Below are 14,047 nucleotides of genomic sequence, written 5' to 3'. Positions count from 1 at the left end.
GACCCCCACAGATACCAAAATCTTCAGATGTTAAAGTCCCTGATATAAAATGGTATAGTGTGTACATATAACTGTATACTTTAAATCATCTCTGGGTTACTTATGATAGCTAATACAATGTAAATGCTATGTAAATAGTGGTTATACTGTATAGTTTTTTTATTTGTATTTTTTTTATTGCTGCGTTGTTATTTTTAATTGTTTCTTTTCCAAATATTTTCCATCTGTAGTTGGTTGAATCTGCAGATGTGGACCCATAGTGGGATGACTGTATGTAAAAGAAAAAACCTTCCACATGGCGGAAAACAAACAAAACAGCAAAATACCCCAAATACCTGAGTCAAAGGGGAAAGAAATGCTTCAACTTGGACTGCACAGGGTTCTAATGCTCTTGATGTATAGAGTTCTTACAAATTAGTAAGGAAAGAACCCAGTAGAAACATGGGCAAAGAGGGTGAAGTGAGAGTTGAAAGACAAGCAGAATCAATGCCTCTAAAGCCTAGCAAAAGATGCTCAACCTCATAATATAAGAAATACAACTCAGCCAGGCGCGGTGGCTCACACCTGTAATCCCAGCACTTTGGGAGGCCCACGCAGGTGGATCATGAAGTTAGGAGATCGAGACCATCCTGGCTAACACAGTGAAACCCGGTCTGTACTAAAAACACAAAAAAATTAGACAGGTGTGGTGGCATGCACCCGTAGTCCCAGCTACTCGGGAGGGTGAGGCAGGAGAATCGCTTGAACACCAGGGAGGCAGAGGTTGCAGTGAGCGGAGATCGTGCCACTGCACCCCAGCCTGGGTGACAGAGTGAGACTCCATCTCAAAAAAAAGAAAAAAAAAAAAAAGAAATACAACTCAAAACTTCAATGAGATTTTTTTCATTTATCAGATTAACAAAGATTAAACAGGTGATAAAATATCATAGGCATAAGGAGAGACAGTCACATTCACACATGGTCAACTTAAGTGAGAACTGGCATCAATATCTGTGCAGGACAATTGGACAATTCCTACCCATAATAAAAATGCACATGCCCTTTGACCTAGCAATCCCACTTTAGGACTATATCTTGCAGATATAATTTCACAAGAATGTGCAACATTGCTCATAATAGGAGAAGTCTGAGAACAACTTAAATGCCCATCAGTGGGTGGCAGGTTAAACAGATTATGGTAAATCCACATGGGGATACTACACAGCCATGAAAAAGAACAAGACTGTTCTAAATGTACTGATATAGACAGGACTCCAAGACATGGTGCTAAGTGAAAAGATAGTAATATTGTAATAATATTGGTAATAAGTGAAAAGTGAATAATAAGTAATAAGTGATAGTAATAAGTGAAAAGAAAGTAATATTGTGCTATCACATGCAAAAAAATAGAAGCGATGTACATGCCTATACTATATATGCATAAAATTTCTTTAAAAAGCTGTCTGGGGTTTGGTGAACACATAACAGTCTCTAACACAAATTGTATAAAGCTGAAGCAAGGCGCTGGTTACAGATAATGATCTGAATATTTCAAAGGGGGAGTTTTAAAAGAACCGAAACCAGATGAAACTGATTATCTCTCATAATACCCAGATAGAAAGACTGGCCCAGGATCTTCAAGGAAGTTTGTTGCAATCAGGGCCCAGTAATTTCATTATCAGAGTGTCGCTGATTGCTGATCCCAGGAGGCCACCTGGGATGGCGTGATTACCCTGCAGGGGCTGATGAGGTTCCACCAAGAATGCAGCAGGTGCCCAGGCTTCCTGCTCTGGGGACTAATGCTTAATTGGTAGCTGGTTGGTTCAGGAGGTGGCGGGTTGGTTCCCAAGAAGCTGATGTCAAGGGTTTTATTCGTATGGGCTCTGCGTGGGTTCACATGGGCCCTTGGTCACATGGGATTCTGGGCAGGGGAGCTGTTTGGGGTGGATGGTTAGAACAGATCTTGGTGCTGTTACCTTCTCTGTGCCTCGATTTCCATCCCAGCTCTGCAGTCATCCACTTACTCAAGGAGGGTCAGTATTAGGTCTGTCTCCCTGCTCATTCTGCCTGCATGCAGTAAGCCAATCACTGTGACAATGGGCTTTGCAAAGAAGAAAGGGTTGATCCATGAGGCTACGAAGCAAGGAGGCAGGAGAACAGGTCTCAAATCTGCCTCCCCAAAAGTCAGGTTAGAGATATATATGGCATAAGGAAGCAAGGTGATCTGAGGTGTGGGGAAAGGTGACTGAGGGTGAAGAAAAGCGAGGTAATTGGCCATGTGTACATGCATAGTCAAGCTTCATGGCTCTTCATGGCTCTTCCTGGCTCTTCATAGGCTGCATGTTCAGAAAATGGTGCCCCTGAGGGGGCAGTTTTTGGCCCGGTGATCTCAAAAGGTCACCTCTCAGGCATTCATGCAGGCCTAGTTGAAAGGTTGGTGGTCTCAACTGGTTTAATCTGGACAGGACCTGCCCCCTAGTTCCTAAAAAACAACTTTAAGTGACTGTTACTGTAGTGACCCACTGTCAGAGATGTTATCTATCAGGAAGCTAGAGGGAGTTGAGGCAGGTGCTTTTGGCTCTGTGACTTTTAGCTACATAGGTTAAAAAGCTGACAAGAAGCAAGTGATTAGAAGCATGCAAGGCAGGTTACATTTGATGGGCTTAATCAGATTAGCCCTTGGTTTCACGCCCAAAGCCATTCCTTCACTCAACACCCCCACGGCTTGCCACGAGCTGGGAACAGGAGAAGTGGGAGACGCTCTTGTTTCCCGGACTTGACAGTCTAATGGGAGAGACAGACACAAGCAGACACGTGTCATGTGGGCAATTCCTGCCACGCTAGAGGGGAAAACACGGCACAGCATAGGAACCCCAAGAAGCTCAGGAGTGTGACTGTCCGAGGGACCACGTTTGATGGTTTACAGGGAAATCATCTGTCTAGGACAGTAGAGAAGCTTTTCTGGGAAGGGCTGTTTAATATACGAATAAAGAGTCCTGAATGTTGGAATTAAGATCCTCGTCAGTAGAAAACTCCTTAGACGCCTCAACATCTGGGAAACATGGCAGATGCCCTGCCCCTAATTTCTCACCAGGTTTCTCCTTCTCGTCTTCCAAAGCTGTGCCTTAACTTCCTCGAAAGACAACATCAGTGCTGGCGGGCCTCAAGAAGAGCCATCCCAAGGTATTGACTAGGCATCAGCGTCTTCACCAGGGCAACACAGAACATCCCTGCAGAGTTCCTGGTGGCTGCAGTGGCTGGTAGGGGATGTATGCCTGCTTTCCATCAGATTCCCAAAGCGGAGCCCCTGGAGGCTTTGGCCCATGGCCCTGAAGCTCCCTTTCACAAGGAAGAAAGACTTTGCAAAGCCAACACCACTATTGGAGAGAAAGTGGAGAATGTGTATTAGAAGTACTAGTCTTTGAAGGCAAAACAGCTGTATAGAGTGAGCTTAAGTGCTGGATCCCTGTGGTTAGGAAGGGACACTAAGCCTCCGGGATGTGAGAGTCCCATGGAAGGCAGTAGGCCCAGGATAAAGCAGGTGTCAGCTCAGAAAGCCCACCATCACCCAGAAAAGGGAAGAAATACGCTACCACCATCACTCTTTCTGCCAATGACTTCTTTGCACACCTCCACCCTATCTCCTGGCTCAGTCTCCCATGTTCTCATAGCTAGGGAGGTCTCCATTGTAATTTGTATGGGGAGGTTAACCTATAGGCCATTCTGATGATCCCAGCTCCCTTTCACTACAACCCCCGTCTGCATCCTTTGCTTTGCAGTAGGATTTGAGAGAGGAAGGATGAAGATGTAGCCACAGGATACATTTAAACAGGCACAGAGTTTGAGGGGTGGGGGGGAACAAAAGCAAAACAATAAAACCTTCACCAGTCATTAAAGAAATGAAAATGAACCTTTTGAGATTGTCAATTTTTATCTGCTAAGTCAAGAAAAGCTAATTTAATTCCTGGCAATTTCACAATAAAAAAAATTGTGCTAGCTCTTGGTGGCATTGTAAGTAGTTAAAGGCTTTTTGGGAAGTAATTTGAAATACATCAAGTCTTGAAAATGATTATACCAGTGGATCCAATCATCTCGCTGGTGGAAATTCATCTGAAGGAAATGATTCAGTGGAAAAAACAACCCGTCTACACTTGTTGCACCTAAATGTCCAGGAATAAGGGAATGACAGAAGAAATCTCAGCACATTCTCTGAATGGAACAGAAACCGAGCGTTTGGAACTAGAATTGCGCAGACTGAATTGAATATGGAAGTGGCTTTAAATGGCATGTTAGGTGGAAACACTGGATGTCTGGTTGAAATTTGGTAAGACACACATTCCCATGGTCAGAATCGGAAAATTTCAACAAATGAAAATCATGGGGTTCACAAAGAGGTGTTGTGGGTTATAGAAAGCTATTTTCAAAAATTTCTTTAATGATTCAAAATTGTTTTTCAAAAAAAGTAGAAGATTTAGAAACATGTATTTTAGGAAGTATGGCCCATGGTGTCTATTGGAAAAAAAGTGGAAGACCTGATGCATTGCCCAAGGGGAACTTCTAGCTTAAGATTACACTGATGAGGACTGGGAAACACTCAGGCACTTTCAGGCACGCTGAGTAACAGGGGTGTCCTTTTACACAGAGACAAGGTGCTCTGTGGTCCACCCTTTACTTGGATCCCCAGATCAGCATTCTCATCAGGCAGAAGTAACCAGAGGAGGAAACAGCATTTCTTCAAAGCTGAAGAGAGCTTTTTGGAGGGGAAAATAAAAAATCCTAGGAACTCCTTGCATGACTGATGGTTTGAACAATGGCTTTGCACCCCAAGACCAGCCTGGCCTCGTGGTTGTAAATCTGGGGGCCGTTGACAAACGGTTTCCCACCTTGGGACTTGAGTCTGCAGTTCAAGAGTCACGTGGGCCTGCCTGAGCCGCAGGGCTTGGCCCCTGTGCTGAGCACAGGCTTCTAGAAGAAGGCTTACGGGAAAGGAAATGCTCGGGTTTCACATGAAGGAGGGTGTGTGTGGAGGGGGCAGGGCGGGAGCAGGAGGGAAAGAATGGTCCCTTTCAACGCAGACAGATGCAGTCTGGCTCAGAGTCAGCCCGGTCTCAAAAAAAACCCAAGTGGTCCAGTAACATTTAAAAATCTGCACACATTCTCAGTTGTATTTTAAATACCGCACAAGGACAGACAATAAATGTGATGGCTTTTCCATCCCCTGCATGTGGAGTGCCTGCCATGTCCTGAAGCTCTCAGCATACTGGCACAGGGAGACACATGTACATGCCCACGGTGGGTGTGTGTAAATGCTACCTACAAACACGAGTGCACACCCACACACACCACTGCAGCACACATACTTCCATTCTCGCCTCAGAAAGCTCCAAGCCTGCAGTTGATCTAAGTTTGGCATGGGCTGAAGGCCACACTTGGAACGGCTGCTTGGACTGTTTCTGAGCAGAGTGACAGGCACAGCTTCTAAGAAAACGAATTCCTTTTTTATCGTGCTGGTAAATGAAGATATCAATCGTTGGTTTAGAAGCTATGCTGCAGGGAAGGACCCAGCCCTGATGCACGCCTTCAGGCTCTAGGACAGAATCATTCTGCTCACGAGCTTCCAGTTTCTAAGTGTTCATTCCATGATGGAGAAAATGACATGGAAAATAGGAGTCACGGGGTTTCCAAGGCTCAGGGAGGGGCTTGCTCCCGGGTGCTCCCATCCTCATGGTCCTTTCCTTGATGTTGTGGCTTATTCAGGTGTTCCTCACTCAGGACAGCCCAGAGCGGCAGATCTGGGCCAGGAAAGGCCCTGGGGTGTCCCACTGGGGAGCCAGCTAGACCTGGGTCAGAGGGAAGCCTCTGTGAATCAGGCACTGTCACGTCAGCCTCTTGAGGACGGCAAATGCCTCATGAAACTGTTGCCTAATGGAAGGCAGTGCGCGTCCTGGGCAGGGGTGGCTCTGCTGCCGGAGGGTAACCTGGAGGGTTGAACTGGGGTGGACGGGAAAGGGGCAAGTAAAGTGTCCCGTGCATCTGCTTTATCCCCTAACCAGCCTGCCAGGAAAAGTGGACAGACAGGTGGGGCTGGGGGCCAGAGAATCGCTGAAGGGCTCACAGGTGGGACTGGCTCAATGGCCGTCCCCAGGCCAGTGGGGTCTGGGTGGGTGCTCACAGCTGCTGGAGAACAGGCCCTGGAATCACACAAGAGCCCAGGAAGCAGTGCGGGGCTGTATATTTATGCACTCCTCATATATTCTCCCGGGACAGCGAGATGTTCTACCGGGAACAAACAGGAGATGCAGAGCCCTGTGCCCTTTGTGCCTTTGGGAAGGTCATGGTGCCCTTGTCCCTGAGCGTGTCCTTTTCTAAGAAGCGTGCTCTGGGCCGGCTCGCTGACTCCTCCTGCTGGGGCCCTGTTCCTCTCTGTTTTGGCTTCGTGTGTACTAAATGGGGCATTTGTGCCAGGCCAGTTCTCAGAAAGCTGGCACTCCAAGGCTTCTCAGGGATCGTCTTGTCCAACCCTCTCATTTTCAATGAGGGACTTCCTGCTCAGAGAAGGCACAGGACTCCCTAAAGCAACCAGGGGCCAGCGAGCTGGGCCAGGGATGCTTGTTATTTCTGCTGCTTCTCACCACCAGTCCCGGAGTCCAGGCTGTCCTGAAGACTGAGGAGCTGGAGGAAGCACTCTATAGCGTGTGAATATTAAACAAAATGTGGGAACACTCATCCTGTGTTGCAACAAGAGTGATATGCTGGAGCAGAATGGGAAGGGGGCACGCTGCCTGCTCTCTGCCCACACACTGGGTTCTCTCCACAACCATTGCCCCCAGCAGTTCAGGCAGGCCCAGGAAGGGGCCTGTGCAAGTCGCTGATGTCCTCTTCTGGGGAGGGAGCTAGAAAGAGCCCTGGTGCCAGAGATCTGGAAGGCAGCAGGGCCCGGGCAGCACCGACAGTCACCCCTCCCTGTCTTCGCCCACGTGTTTCTCTGAAATTGGGGCAGAATGGGAATTAGCTACCTTTGATTTTTTATTGTGTTAAAATACACATAACATAAAATCTACCATCTTAACTTTTTTTTTTTTTTTTTTGAGATGGAGTCTCATTATGTTGCCCAGGCTGGAGTGCTGTGGTGCAATCTCACCTCATTGCAACCTCCGCCTCTTGGGTTCAAGTGATTCTCGTGCCTCAGCTTCCGCAGTAGCCAGGATTACAGGCTTGTGCCACCACACCCAGCTAATTTTTGTATTTTTAGTAGAGACGGGGTTTCACCATGTTGACCAGGCTGGTCCCAAACTCCTGACCTCAAGTGATCCACCCCCAGCCCCAGCCTCCCAGAGTGTTGGGATTACAGGCGTGAGCCACCGCACCCAGCCCTTAAACATTTTTAAGTGTGCAGTTCAGTGTGGCATTAAGTATACTCACAATGGTGCACAGCCGTCACCACCATCCATATTCAGAACATTTCATCTTGCAAAACTGAAACTCTGTCCCCAGGAAACACTAGCTCCCCATTCCCCCTTCCTGCAGCCCGTCACCACCATTCTACCTCCTGTCTCCACGAGTCTGACTACTGCAGTGCAACGGACTGAATGTTCATGCCGCACCCCCTTTTCCACAAAGTCACATGTTGACATCCTGACCCCCAAAGTGATAGTCTTAGGAGGTGGGGCCTTTGGGAGACAATACAAACAGGTGGTGGGGCAGAGTCCTCCTGAATGGGATTGATGGACTTATAAAAGAGACCCGGAGGGATCCTCGGCCCCTCCCACCATGTGAGGGTGCCCTGAAAAGACGGCAAGAACCAGGAAGAGGACCTGCGCCAGGCACCGCATCTGCCGGTGCCTTGATCTCATACTTCTCAGCATCCGGAACAATGAGAACTGAATTTCCGTCATTTATAAGCTACAGTCTATGGTATTTTTCTGTGGCAACGCGGAACAGAACGGCAGGTAGGTGGGTGGTCAGCGGAGTGCCGCGGCAGTTGTGCTCTGGTGATTGGCTGGTTTCACTGAGCGTTCGGCCCTGCAGGTTCATCCAGGCCGTGGCACGTGTTTCCATGACTCCGCCCCCTCGGCCCGCGGTTGCGGCCACCCGGGAGCACGCGGCTTGCCGGGAGCGGGCGCTTGGCACGGGCGCCCTCTAGCGTTGCTGGAATTGGGGCCGTCGCGGCCCAGGCTGGGCTTCCGGAGCTCGGGCCCCGCACTCTGTGGCTCGGGGGCTGGTCCGCACCAGACCCCTCGCCGCGCTCCCGCTTTCCCTGCATTCACACAGGAGGGAGACGCGGACTCGGGGCGTGTGCAGGGAGAGGGCGACTGAGCGTGGGGATTTTCACACGCTTCTGCGAGACTTGGAACGTTGGCTGGCTTGAAGCAGCTTTTCTGGTTTTTTTTTTTTTTCTTTTTTCCTAAGTTAACATTAAGTATTTTAGAGAAAATGGGTTTATGCAGCTGACAGAATGCCCGACCTTGATGATGTTTGTCTGCTGGACTTTCCTGTGTGCTCCACGGACCACCAGGACATCACTTCGGGGCAGCCCGAGAGTGGCTGACGCAGAGTGGCCTGTGTGCGAAAGAGTGGCTCACGTTCATTCCCGGTGAGCGCCCAGGACCAGCCATCCAGAACATTCCTTTTCTTGTTCAAACTAGACACCCCTGGAGATGCCCAGGAACAATGGAGTGAAACTTCGTCGGGGAAGTGGGCCTGGGGAGGGAGTGGGGAGACTCCGGACTGTAGTGGCTATTTCCCCACCCACATCCCGCGCTGGCCAGCCGGGGGGTGCAAAGCAGTGCCGACGCTAAGAATGGTGCAGATGCCAGCACCTCTTCCTTCAAGAGGAGTGGAAACCAAGCAAGGCGGTGCACCTCTGCCAGCTGAGCCCTACTCCACTCATGACATTTAAATATATATACACACACACACGCGCGTATATTATTTGTATGGTAAAATATATACCATAAACATCACCCTTTTAACCATTCTTAAGTGTGCAGTGCACTGGCATTAAGTACATTCACATGGCTGTGCAACCATCACCACCACCCGAATCAGGACTTTCTCCTCGTCCCAAACAGAAACTCTGCCCATTAAACCCCAACTCGCCATCTTCCCTTCTCCAGCCCCTGGCAAGCTCTATTCTACTTTCTGTTTCTGTGGATTTGACCACTCCAGGAACCTGGAGTGGACTGATATAGTATCTGTCTTCTTGTATCTGTGCATAACATCCTCAAGGTTCACTCGTGCTGAGATGTGTGACAGGATTCCCTTCCTTTTTTATGAGATGGGGTCTTGCTATGTTGCCCCAGCTGGAGCACAGTGGCTGTTCACAGGCATAATCCCACTACTGATCAGCACGGGGCTTTTGACGGATTTCCTTCCTAAAGCAGAATAACATTCCATGGTGTGCACAGACCAGTGAGGAAGTTTCAACCGAGCGCAAGTCTGTTGGAGAGGTCGTCCAGGCAAATCTGGTCTCCCTTCCTGCTGCTTTCTGGTCTTTGCTTGGCTTTATGTGGAGGGGTTTCTTCTCTTTTCAGGTCTGTAGTCTGGTGAGAAGACTGAGGCTAAGCCCTGTGGCTGGTCAGCAGACGGGGACCATGCTGAGACAAGCCAGGCAGCTCTGGCTTGGGGGTTCAGGGGACTCCAAGGAGGGAGGAAGCACTGTGGGCTGAGAGGGAACCCACAGGCTGGGTGGGCTTCTTGGAGGAGGAGGCGGGGCTTGAGCTGGGAGGAAGAGGGTCAGATGAGTTGAGTAAGGGAGGGGGACACAGGGAGGCACAGTGGAAAGCTGTCCTCACAGGTGTAAGCATTTGTTTCCAGAGGTTTCCACAACGGACAGTTTAAAGGTGACCTCTGCTATCTCCCTGGTCAGTTTTCCTTTTGCACGAAAACAGCAGAAAGCCAATTTTGAGCTCCTGCATCAAAAAAAGCTATGAGCTCTGGAGGTGGAAAGATTTGGATTTTTCTGCTATTATACTCTGCCACCTTAGACATGTTTCTTAATAACCTGAGACATATCTATGGAATGGGCATGCTCATTCCGTATTTTCAGAGATTTTGCCTGATTTTCAGAGACTGAAAATGACGATCCCAGTTTGGACAACGTGCCTGATTTTCAGAGATTTTGAGGGTATTAATGTATGTGAAGTTGCCCAGCACAGTGCCTGGCACATAGAGATTCTCAATAAATAGTAGAAATGGTAGGAGCAGAAGTAGTGGTGATAGTGACAGGAGAGTAATAGAAGATTAATTCATTCATTTAACTCATACTTACTTCAGCCTGCTGTGAGCAGACATCAGGTATCATAAGCGAAACAGGCAAGACACCTGCATTGAGGAGCTGTGTGAAAAGGGAGATGGTGTGAAAGAGCAAAGTGATAAGAGCAACCAAGATTGTAAGGTCGTGATAAATAAGATGAGGCACCGAGAATAATGCCAGGCCTTTTCCTAAGGCGGATAGCTCAGGCAGTCAGGGAAGACCTCTTTGTGCTGCGATGGTCAGGGCTGGGAGGGAGAGCTGGGCAGGAGCTTGGTGCCTCTGAAGAGAAAGGAGCCCTAGGGGTTGCTCAGGGAGCCAGCAGGGAAGTGCTGAGAGGTGGTTTGGAGGTAGCTAGTAACCAGAGAAGGAGACCGATTGCATTCTAAATGCAGTGGAAAGCCAATGATAAGAGGGTAAAGTGGGAGATGACTAGATCTGATTTATGTTTTAAAGGATAAACCTAAAACTCAGCAACAAAACAATTGAAAAATGATCAAGGGGCTTGAATAGATATTTCTCTGAAGAAGACATACAGATAGCCAATGAACATATGAAGAAATGCTCAGCATCACCAGTCATTAGGGAAATGCACGGCAAAACCACAATGAGATCCCATTTCATACCCATCAGGATGGCTATCATAAAAAAAAAAAAAAAAAACAGGCCGGGCGTGGTGGCTCACGCCTGTAATCCCAGCACTTTGGGAGGCCGAGGTGAGCAGATCATGAGGTCAGGAGATCAAGACCATCCTGGCTAACATGGTGAAACCCCGTCTCTACTAAAAATACAAAAAATTAGCCAGGTGTGGTGGCGGGCGCCTGTAGTCCCAGCTACTTGGGAGGCTGAGGCAGGAGAATGGCGTGAACCCGGGAGGCGGAGCTTGCAGTGAGCCGAGATCGCACCACTGCACTCCAGCCTGGGCGACAGAGTGAGATTCCATCTCAAAAAAACAAAAACAAGTGTTGTTGAAGGTGTGGAGTAACTGGGACTCTTGTGCAGTGTTAGTAGGAATGTAACATGGGGTAGCTGTGGCTGGGAAACTGTATGGTGGTTTCTCAAAAAATTAAGCCTAGAACTACCATAAGATCCAGCAATTCCACTTCTCAGGATACTCAAAAGAACTGAAAGCAGGGGCTCGAACAGCTGCTTACCTGCCATGTTTATAGCAGTGTTATTCACGATAGCCAAGAGGTGGAAACAACCCATGTCCATTGACAGATGAATGAGTAAACAAAATGTGGTCTATCCACACAATGGAATATTAGTCTTCAAAAAAAGAGGACATTCTGACACATACTACAACATGCACGCACGTCATGCTCACTGAAATATGCCAGACACCAAAGGACAAATGCTGTGTGATCCCACTCACACGAGGTATCCAGAGTAGTCAAATTCATTGAGAAAGAAAGTAGAGTGGTGGCTGCCAGGGGCTGGAGTGAAGGGAATGGCGAGCTGGTGTTTAATGGGGACAGAGTTTCAGTCTGGGGAGATGAAAAAGTCCTGGAGATGGATGATGGTGACAGTTGGACAACCAAGTGAATGTGCTTAATGCCACTGAACTGTACTCTTAAGAATGGCTAAGACAGTACATTTGATATTGTTTATATCTCACCACATACACACACAGAGATGGGACTGGAAGGCTGCAAGTGTGGAGACAGGGTCCCAGCAGGCAGGCTGTTGCAGGAACTGAGCACAAGATGCTGGCAGCCCCTGCCAGGGCCGTGGCTATGAGTGGGGAGAAGCAGGCGGCCTGCGATATGGCACAGACAGGACTGCCACAGGTTGAATGTGGGAGTAGGGAGGGGAAAGGACCCAAGGAGGAGACCTCAAGTTTTGAAATGGGCAACTGTGTCGTGCCATTTGCTGAAATGATGGCAACTGGGGAAGGGTCTCTTTCAGGGGGAAAAGCAAGTGCTCCTTTTTGTCCATACCATTATTTCAAAACCATTTCATTGAGGTATAATCGACACACAATAAACTACACATATTTAAAATGCATGATTTGATAAATTTCAACGTATGCACATACTAAATTTGAGATGTCTATTACATATCCAAGTGGGTACGACAAGTCGTCAGTTGGATATTTAGAGCTGGAGCTCAGGGGAGAATTTAGAAGGAGTCATGTAATTTTGGAAATGACCAGCATAGGGAGGGTATTTACAGACTCGAGACCAGACAAGAGCATGTTAGAAATAGGAAGAGGAAGAGTTCCCATTTCTTGAATACCAGTGTGTGCTGGGCACATTTACTGTAAGCTACTTGTTGCAACAGCCTGAGGGGAAGGAAGTATCACCTTTGTGATGGAAAATGCTAGTTGTAAGCCAACATCCACTCTAACCCTCATTCATAAAAATAAATTCTACCTGGGATCTGGATACCAACCAGGTACAACCTCTCCCAGTCCTCTCTGCAGTACTTGGGCCAACTTAGCTAAATTCTTCCCATAATGTGGGCCATTTCCATATTGGGGCCCATAAAACAATGGGAGTGCATCATCCTTCCTCACTGCTCCCTCCTTACTGACAACAGTGGCAATGACCACAGCTACCCTGGAAGTCATGGGCCAAAGATGGCAGACATGCTCTCTGCCTGGGGCCCTGAATGACTGCGTGGCCCAGAACCACCTGTCAAACTAGAACATTCATCTAGACTATGATGCGAGAGAGCAACAAACTCCTTTGTTAGTTTTTAAATTTAAATTATTTATTTACTTTTTAGACATAGGGTCTCTTTTTGTTGCCCAGCCTGGAGTGCAGTAGCACAATCATTGCTCACTGCAGCCTAGAACTCCTGGCCTCAGGCGATCCTCTTGCCTCAGCCTCCTGAGTCAGCTGGGACTGCAGGTGCTCACCACCATGACGCCTGGCTATTCCCAAAGCTTCTCCCTAAGACGCCGGAATGTGATGGGATCCTAATGAGAAAGAGGGATCTTTGGTTTGTGTTTCCATGACAACCAAGTAGACTGATGGCTGTTACAAGGTTAAAGAGGACTCCTTAGCTGGGCTGGGAAAGAGCACTGTCTTGACCTTCAGGTCACAAAGTGGGGAGTGCTTCCTCCCATCACCATGATGCCATCCATCCGGATGGGCCTGGGGCAGATGCCAGGGAGGCTGAGTGTTTGACTTCCCGGTCACGTGGGGCAGACACGGCTACTCAGGCCAGCACAGGAGCTGACATGGCTTCGGACCTCCAGTGTGCCTCGGACTGTTAATCACCACTGCCCGCTTTGGAACCAAGGCCAATCGAGGGCACCAGGCTGGTGGTCGTTGCTGGAACCTTCACCTGGAGGATGAGAAGCTGTCAGAGCTCCAGGTCTGATTCCCAGCTCCAGGTGACTACAGAATTTGTTGTCCAAACTGGGATCGTCATTGGCTTGCTTCCCAACACACATAGACACCAATGCTATGGCATGGGCTTTTGAGAAAAGAAAAAGCCTTATTGTGAATGGACTGGCAAAGAGACTGGAGAGGACGCTCATATCCATCTCCCCCAGCCAAAGTCTGGGGGCAGGTTTTATAGGCAGAGGGTAACTATGGGGGAGACAGGAAGATGCCGCAAGGTGGGATCCAACTGGGTCATGCAAAGGGGCAATGATGGGCCCTTGGCTGTAAAGTCTGTACTGCAACAAAACAGGGCACCTCTTGCTTCTTAATTTGCTCTCTGTTCTGCAGCCTGAATATTTTGGTTCCACCTGTGGTTGGCTTTTATGTTCTGGCCAGCATGGATAGGGCTTGCTTAGTTCATCTGGCACACTCAGATTATATGACTTGTAATCTGGGGGTCTGTTGCACTGAAAAACAGCTC

The 14,047-nt window shown here is 48.4% G+C and overlaps 1 long non-coding RNA gene across 4 annotated transcripts in view, besides 2 other annotated features; it reads left to right on the top strand.

Annotated features, from left to right (window-relative positions):
* The window catches only part of LOC102723944 (uncharacterized), a 102,009-nt gene that overhangs the window by 23,034 nt on the left and 64,928 nt on the right, over nt 1-14,047 (top strand). For 2 of the 4 annotated variants that reach the window (XR_926384.2, XR_926382.2), the window contains exon 3: nt 3,074-3,889. The exons of 1 other annotated variant lie outside the window; for it this stretch is intronic. This is a non-coding gene — a long non-coding RNA (uncharacterized LOC102723944). Of the gene's footprint in view, nt 1-3,073; nt 3,890-14,047 lie in introns of those variants that run through there. One more of the 4 variants, XR_001743921.2, reaches the window with a different exon arrangement.
* Nucleotides 7,985-8,154: an enhancer, noted in NCBI's record as "experimental_90995 CRE fragment used in MPRA reporter constructs". NCBI's record gives its function as "activates a minimal promoter by MPRAs in K562 erythroleukemia cells, with activity observed for both the introgressed and non-introgressed 6:1524419 variant alleles {active_cell/tissue: K562}" and the evidence as "EXISTENCE:reporter gene assay evidence [ECO:0000049][PMID:34662402]".
* Nucleotides 8,021-8,080: a silencer, noted in NCBI's record as "silent region_16821". NCBI's record gives its function as "represses an Ori minimal core promoter by ATAC-STARR-seq in GM12878 lymphoblastoid cells {active_cell/tissue: GM12878}" and the evidence as "EXISTENCE:reporter gene assay evidence [ECO:0000049][PMID:35858748]".

Source organism: Homo sapiens, chromosome 6 (assembly GCF_000001405.40).
Source record: "Homo sapiens chromosome 6, GRCh38.p14 Primary Assembly".
Classification (NCBI taxonomy): domain Eukaryota; kingdom Metazoa; phylum Chordata; class Mammalia; order Primates; family Hominidae; genus Homo; species Homo sapiens.
This window is presented reverse-complemented; position numbering and strand designations above follow the sequence as displayed.